Source organism: Homo sapiens, chromosome 3, assembly GCF_000001405.40.
Source record: "Homo sapiens chromosome 3, GRCh38.p14 Primary Assembly".
Lineage (NCBI taxonomy): Eukaryota > Metazoa > Chordata > Mammalia > Primates > Hominidae > Homo > Homo sapiens.
This window is the reverse complement of record NC_000003.12, coordinates 96,748,726-96,755,933: the sequence shown is the minus strand read 5'-3', so window position 1 is coordinate 96,755,933 and position 7,208 is coordinate 96,748,726. Positions and strand designations below refer to the sequence as shown.

The window sequence follows — 7,208 nt, the reverse complement described above, 5'->3', positions numbered from 1 at the left end:
CATGCCATATTCCCAGCAGAGCCACTGTATACCTTTCTTTAAGAGTGCATGCCACCCCTCCCCCTACCCCAACTCCTTGTTCTAAAGGATTTAACACATCAGGAAGTTGTTTTGAAATATCAGCCAAAAGGAATGGGGCAGGGGCGAGCCAGTCTTCACTTGAAAGATCCTTTTCCTGCTCCAGTCCTTGGCAAGGGTTATAGAAAAGGCTAGCTGCCAGCTTTCCATGAGTCCACTGGAAGCTCTAAGCCCAGCCCCGCCCAGGGCATCTCCTGCAAAGGCAGGGTGCTTGGTGCTGCCTTCTCAACCTTCTTGGTGACTACACAACAAAGGAGACCTCCAGGGTACAAGAAACACAGATCCCTGAGCCACGTTCCAGGAAAGAGATATGTTCGGGGAAGCCAATTAGGCCTTCACATGGAAGCTTGAGTCGGAGATGGTGCTTTTGTGGTGATTTGGACAAATTAGGTTAGTTTAGCAAAGCTCTGAAGTTGCAGAAGCTTCTCCCATGACTCCTGATTGAACATAGGACAGTAGAGATGAGTACATAGTCAGATTAAGTCTTAGAGAGATGCAGGCTGGTTTCCTGCCACAAGGCCTTGGGACTGGCCCAGACAGATACTGCTAAGTCCCCTGCAAGGGAAGAAGTCACCATAAGGAGGGACTGGGTGGAAAATAGAGAAAAAAGCAACAGCCAAGTCATTTTTGGTATTTTAACATGAAGACAATGACAAGTGGTAACAAAAAAGCAATAAATAACTTGAAAAGACCAATATTTAACTTGCCCATCCACCCAAGTCTCACACTTAAGTTCTATTCTCATCTCCCCCAAAAGCACCACTGAATTAATTACCTTAAAGCAACCAAAGCAACCCAAATTCTCTGGAAACAAGGACCCTCCAGCCAGAGGTGTTTCCTCTCTTGAGCTCAAGTGAGTGGAGGGTTCCGGGAAGGGCACCTTGTAACTAATGCTGCACAGCATGCACTGTGCCAAGCTCCAGCACAGGGCACTTGACTGGGATACAGGTAGTGGTCACAGCATCAGTGCTGACAAGTGAGGAAAGGGACTCTTCAGTAATCCCAACTATTTGGTACCAGAGCCAAGCAAAGGAGACCAAAGAGAGCTGAGTGAAGAGCACTACTCCCAGTTTCAGAAACAGGACGGCCAGTACTAGTCAGTGTCTGGGTTGCGGGAAAGAGAGACTGAAGCCTAAAGGCAATAAAGACTGATGCATAAAGTGCTGATCCTTCTTGTAAGGACCAGAGAATGCACTTGACAGCTGGCAAATCTCTAACTGGCAACTGCTGTGACAAGGCTCTGGCTGGACAGGGAACTATAAAGAGTTTGGTTTCTGGTCCCTGCAGGCCAGTTGCCTGAATGTTGGCAACGGGGCCCCAGCTGGTGATGCTCTTATGCAATGATGTTGCTCTTCTCACAAGCCAGGCTCCAGATTCTCCAGCCACAGAGGTTCTGCCCTGCTTTGGGGTACATGGTAGACTCACAGGAGGTGTTGGTGGCCCCTCAGATAAACAGACCACCCACTTCACTGCCAGCAAAGAGCACGTGTAACCATCATAACCAGCATAGATCTGGGGGCACCCCACGCCCAGGGAAGTCAAACAGCTTCACCTGGCGAGGGGGAACAGTCTCAACTTTCTGCTCCACGTGGCCCAGCCAGCCATAGCCAATGAAGCCCTGAGAAGACTTGCTTCTGGGAGTCCAAAACCAGCGTGTAGTTAGTGCCACAGGCTGTGTCTCATTCAACCATTTGGTACAGGCAGAATCTGTCCATCTTTTGTTTTCTGGATGAAGACAGCCAATCGCAGGGGCACCAGTTTTCAGTAATATTCTAATGGCTGCATCGGGGTGATGAACTTCCCATCCAATTGTTTCCCAGCTGACCATATTCAGGGCACCCAAAGGAAAAGAGGTTTCCTTTGCAGTCCATTATCACACTGAATTCAACTCCACAGGTCATTTTGGTAATGGGCTGGCCTTTATACCTTGTCTGTGCCAAGCTGTGGACAGCATCTGTCTGGTTACCACGACCCAGCTATGCCATCTTGTTCTCCCCAAATGTGAACAAGGAGCTGGTTTCTGTCAAGGTCAGTGTGTGGTTCTGCCCACATGCTGCCGGCAGGATCACTTCATGGCTAAGACCTTTGATGAGTCTGGGAGCTTCCTCTCTCTTGGTGTTGTCATGTCCCAGATGCCCCTTCTCTTGTCCACAGCAGCTCCACAGCTTCCCTTCTATGGTGATGAGGAGGCTGTGAGCAGCACACTAACCAGAAACCACTGCCCACACCTGGGCACTACCAGGTACCCACATATCTGAGGCCCCTCACAAATTCTGACTGAGATTGCCGTAAGCAGCTTTTGCTGTTTAGGCACTTCCTTTCAACCAGTCAAGTCCCAGTTGACTGCCCTTCAAATCAAAAGTTGCCCATTGTACTTCGACCCTTCAAGTTTGATGTGTTCCTTGGTGTACTTAGGCTGAGTGATGACCACAGCCACGCTGCCCGCCCTTGCCTGCTGCTGCATGCCTGATCCCGTCTCCACTGGGGGCCCAGTGGAGCTCCAGACCGTCCTCAAGGTCGTTGCTGCTGTCCTTGCCGCTGCTGCTGTTGCAGTGCTTCCGCCGCGTGTGCCTCTTGCTGGAAGTGCCTGCTTCATTTCCTGGGCCCAGCAAGGCAGAGCCGTTGCCCTAGGGAGGCTTCTGACAGACGGCAGCCCCCGCCTTCTTCCTGGATATGGTCATGGCTGGAGGGAGAAATCTAAACTATTTTGTATTAATTTTCTCAAAAGAATACATGTAATTTAAAATGTCAAATAACACTAAAGGCTGACAATGAAAATAAGAGTAAAAACAAACAGCAATGATCTGATCATGCTCTATCATGTTCCATCCCAAAAGCACATAGTCATCACTTAGGAAACTTCTCACAATATTTACCTACATATACTTATGCTATGAAGAAACTATATCTTTTATGTTCAATGCTTGCAAATTACATGAAGGGAATTATATACATGCTGCTTTATGTTTTGATGTCATCTTTCTTTTATTTTTGTATTTTCTGTATCTCTATTTCTTTTTTCCCCTTAAATTTTTTTTTACCACCCCTAACATCTTCCACCTACTCCAATAAAAACCCCTGTCCTTCCCTCCTTAACTTCTCCCCATCCCATGACCAAGCTCTAATCCATGCTAAAGAACGAAGGTTTGTTCCTTCCTTTTCTTCTTTTGAGTTATGTAACTCTCTACATGTTTGTATGTGTTTATATGGTATATATATATGTGGAATGTTTTGGTCGTGTTTTGATTTTTTTAAAACATGAAGATAATATTTCACACTTTAACCTGTATCTTTCTATTTTCACTCAATAACACCTGATGGAATTACTTTAAATCATTTGGAATAATCATTCTTTTAAATGGCTTAATAATGTTGCATTTTTGAGATAAGTCGTTGTTTATTTAACCATTCTCTTATTGAAGGACATTCACTTTGCAATTTTTGTCAGTATGAAAATTTCTACTCTCTATGTCTTTACATATATATCCAGATGTACTGCTGGTTTTATAGCTAAATAGTGGTTTACATTTATATAATATATATAGAGTTTGAACAAGATTGTCATTAACCTTTTGGTGAAAAAGTCTACTGCTATCTTGTTTAGGTGTTTACTACACATATTTTCAGCATAATCAACTGTCATTTTGGCATTGTCAATGTAATCATATGTGTTTTCTCTTAATTTGTTGATGAAATAAATCTATTGATAAATTGCCCACCATTTAAAGATATTTGAATTACTATTTTAAACAGCTCATCTCAGTCACAATTCTTCCTTGCAAATAGCAGATCCACTTCTGAAAAGTTTAAGCAGAAAGAAAATAAATTTATTGTAGTGTATTAGCAATTCAGTAAGTCTCCAGTAGAGTTCAGAGCCTTTCAGATTGAAAAATGCACAAATTTCATCAACATTCTGCTTGCAGGTGTGGGTCCAATTAAGCTGGGCACAGATATGGAAGAAAATAAACAATATTCTGATGATGCTGAACAAAGGGACTTTCTTTCAGGAGTTTAGCTACTTTAGATTTTATAACTTGAAGTCTCTTTCTCCTTCTCCCACAACAAAGTGAAATTTGTATGCTTACGCCTTCTCTTATGAATCAAAGATTCCTATAGGTGGAAGCCAGGGAGGCTGGTAGGTAAGCTCTGCTTTCTAAATGGAGATTTGAGCTATTGACTGTGCGAAGTTACCAGGATAGAAGACAAGTGTGCCAAAGGTGTTGGCTGCTACTGCTATGACAATTGTCTGTGAGAGTTTTAGAATGATATTATTTTCATAAATTACTATATTCAGTTTACTGATATTTTACTTGATATTTTTTGACTAACAGATGAGATTAGTAGTTTTATTTTTATACCATTATAATCTAGTTTTGGAATTGGAGTCATACTAGTTTGGAATTAAAGTAATATGGGCTTGTTAAAGTGAAAGTATTGTTCTCATGCATGTAATCCCAGCACTTTGGGAGGCTGAGGTGGGCGGATCAACTGAGCTCAGGAGTTTGAGACCAGCCTGGCCAACATAGTGAAACCCCGTCTCTACTAAAAATACAAAAATTAGCTGGGCATGGTGGTGGGCACCTGTAATCTCAGCTATTTGGGAAGCTGAGGCAGGAGAATCACTTGAACCTAGGACGCAGAGGTTGCAGTGAGCCGAGATTCTGCCATTGCACTCCAGCCTCCTGGATGACAGAGTGAGACTCTGTCTTTAAAAAAAAAAAAAAAAAGTGATATTATCACGGAATCTTTGGGTGTCACTTTTCTGGCCACAAACCTCTGTGGCCAGTGGCACCTCTGCCCAAGTTCTTGTCCTGCATCCAGGAAGAATGAGGTATGCAGACAAGTGGAGGGTGAGCAAAATGAAGAGGAGATTTATTGAGTGTTAGGAGTGCTAGGAGGAGACCCACTGTAGTTAGCTCTTCTCTGTAGGTAGGTCATCCTGACGTCTGCAGCTTTCAGCAGAGAGGAGGCCTGGAGAGGGTGGCTCCTCTCTGTAGGCAGGTTGTCCAGATGTTTGCAGCTCTCAGCAGAGAGGAAGCCCTGGAGAGGGTGGCTCCTCTCTGCTGCTGATCATTCCAATGTCTTCCCAGCTTCTAGCAGAGAGGAGGCCCTGGAGTGGGTTGCTCTTCTCTGTAGCTGGTAGTCCTGACATCTCTGCAGGTCTCTGAAGCTCTCAGCAGGGAGGGTAGCTCCTCTCTGCAGCTGGTCCTCCTGTCATCTGCTGAGCTCTGGCTGAGCCTGGGGCCTTTATGGGCCTCAGATGGGAGGAAGTGCATGTCAATTGGTCCATGGGAGGCAATGGGCTGGTGGCAAACGCACCACAAGATCCCACTCTGGTTGTGGGACTGGCAGTCTGCCCCCAGCCTTCAGGCCCTCCTTGGCCTGAAAGTGGGGCCTCACCAGGGACCCTCCCCCTTCTGCCCAGGAATCTGCTTCCTGCTGCCTTTATGGTGCCAAGGTTCACCAGACTTTGCTCCCAGATTAGAGTATGCCCTTGAGCAAGCACTTCTCAGCCTGCAAAGGCAGAGTGAGGGAGGCAGTCCTGGCTCCTGTCTGCTCTGTGGAGCAGGAGGCTCAAGTCTGCAGCCATGGTTTGGGCAGCTGCAGCTGGGCCAATGAGGGCAGGGTTCTGCCTGCTCTTGGTCCCCCAGTAGCACAGGGAGGTTTGAATCTGCAGCCACAACTTGGGTGGCTGTAGCCCTGCCCAGAGGGATGGGGGTCCTGCCTGCTCTGTGGAGTGCGAGGCCTGGGTATGTAGCCAGGGTTTGGGTCTGCAGCAGCACCCATCACCTGGGGAGCTGCTTCCACCTCAGATTGGAAGAGGTGGGGCTTCTGCTTGTCCCCAGCTCCCACTGGTTCCATGGAGCGTGCAGCCCTGGCCTCCCTGCTGCAGCTGCTGTGATGGCAGTGGCAGGCCATCTGGAGCCATCACTGCCATCAGTATTTAAAATAACATAGAGATATTTGTTTTAGAAGTTTAGAGAGATATCAACAATTCAAACTTTCTTTTTCAAAAAGAAGTTTGAATTTCTGTCTGTGTGTGTTTTGTACTTGAATCTTCTTAAGAATTACTGTTAAATTTTTGTTCAAGTGTCTCTATCTTTTCAACAGTTTTATTTTATTGCCATTATATTTGGAATGATCCTAATGAATTTTTTTTCTCCTCTGGATGCTGGACCTTCTTGAGTGTGATGCTGTTTCACAGTAATTTCTGATTTTATTTTTCTATCAAACTTTAGGCTAAAATTTTCAGTGTACTATCTTAATTAAGGGAATAATTTAGGCAGTTTTGAGTACTTCCTCTATTCTTTCAGCCATTAGAGACTTTTTTTGTTATATACCCTCATATTTTATTAGAAAGTTCCATATAAAATGATTTTTAACAGATTTGTGGTTTTCTATTGATGCACATGTTTGCAAAAATGTTTTCATAGTGAATTTTTATGCCCCTCACTTAAATTTAAGCCCTCTTTCTGATATCTGCTCTGCAGAACAAATTCAATGAAAGGGCATATTCTTGACTGGCCTTTAAAAAAATTAAATGTTTTCATTCCTCAGTTTTCACCACTAAGAACTGCAACAGATTCAATAGGATGTTATTATATGTTTAGTCATATTAAGATTCGAATACGAGTACCAGTGCATTGTAAGAAGATGTTGTATCTATACTTATGGATAATTTAGAAATAAATTCTATTTATTTCTTTGCCAGAGACAGCAAAAGTTACAAGAAAAAATTATTTGCATGCACAATAGCTGAGCTAACTTGCATTTAATAGTAAGAAGATCAATTAATTCTCAGTGACACAAGTGTTTGTGTGAAGAATGCTCTAGTACAAAACAAATTTGAGATTTAATAGGTTTGATCTTCAAAGACAAGATCAATATAGATCCGAGTCCACCAGTCCTCCTAAGAATACTAATGTATGTCTACTACTATAAACTTTAATATTCCAAAGGAAAGACTAATTTAAGGAATAAATTTAAAAAAACAAAACTACTGGAAAATCAGTCAAAAATATTAAATATGAACTGTTACAGCCAAAAGGAACCTGAAGAGAAAAGACAACGAAATGTAGTGAAGGCATCCTGGATGGGATCCTGGGATAGAAAAAAGACAATAGGTAAAA

The 7,208-nt window shown here is 43.6% G+C and overlaps 1 pseudogene; it reads right to left on the bottom strand.

Moving 5' to 3' along the window:
• On the bottom strand, positions 1,340–2,772 carry RCC2P5 (regulator of chromosome condensation 2 pseudogene 5; annotated as a pseudogene).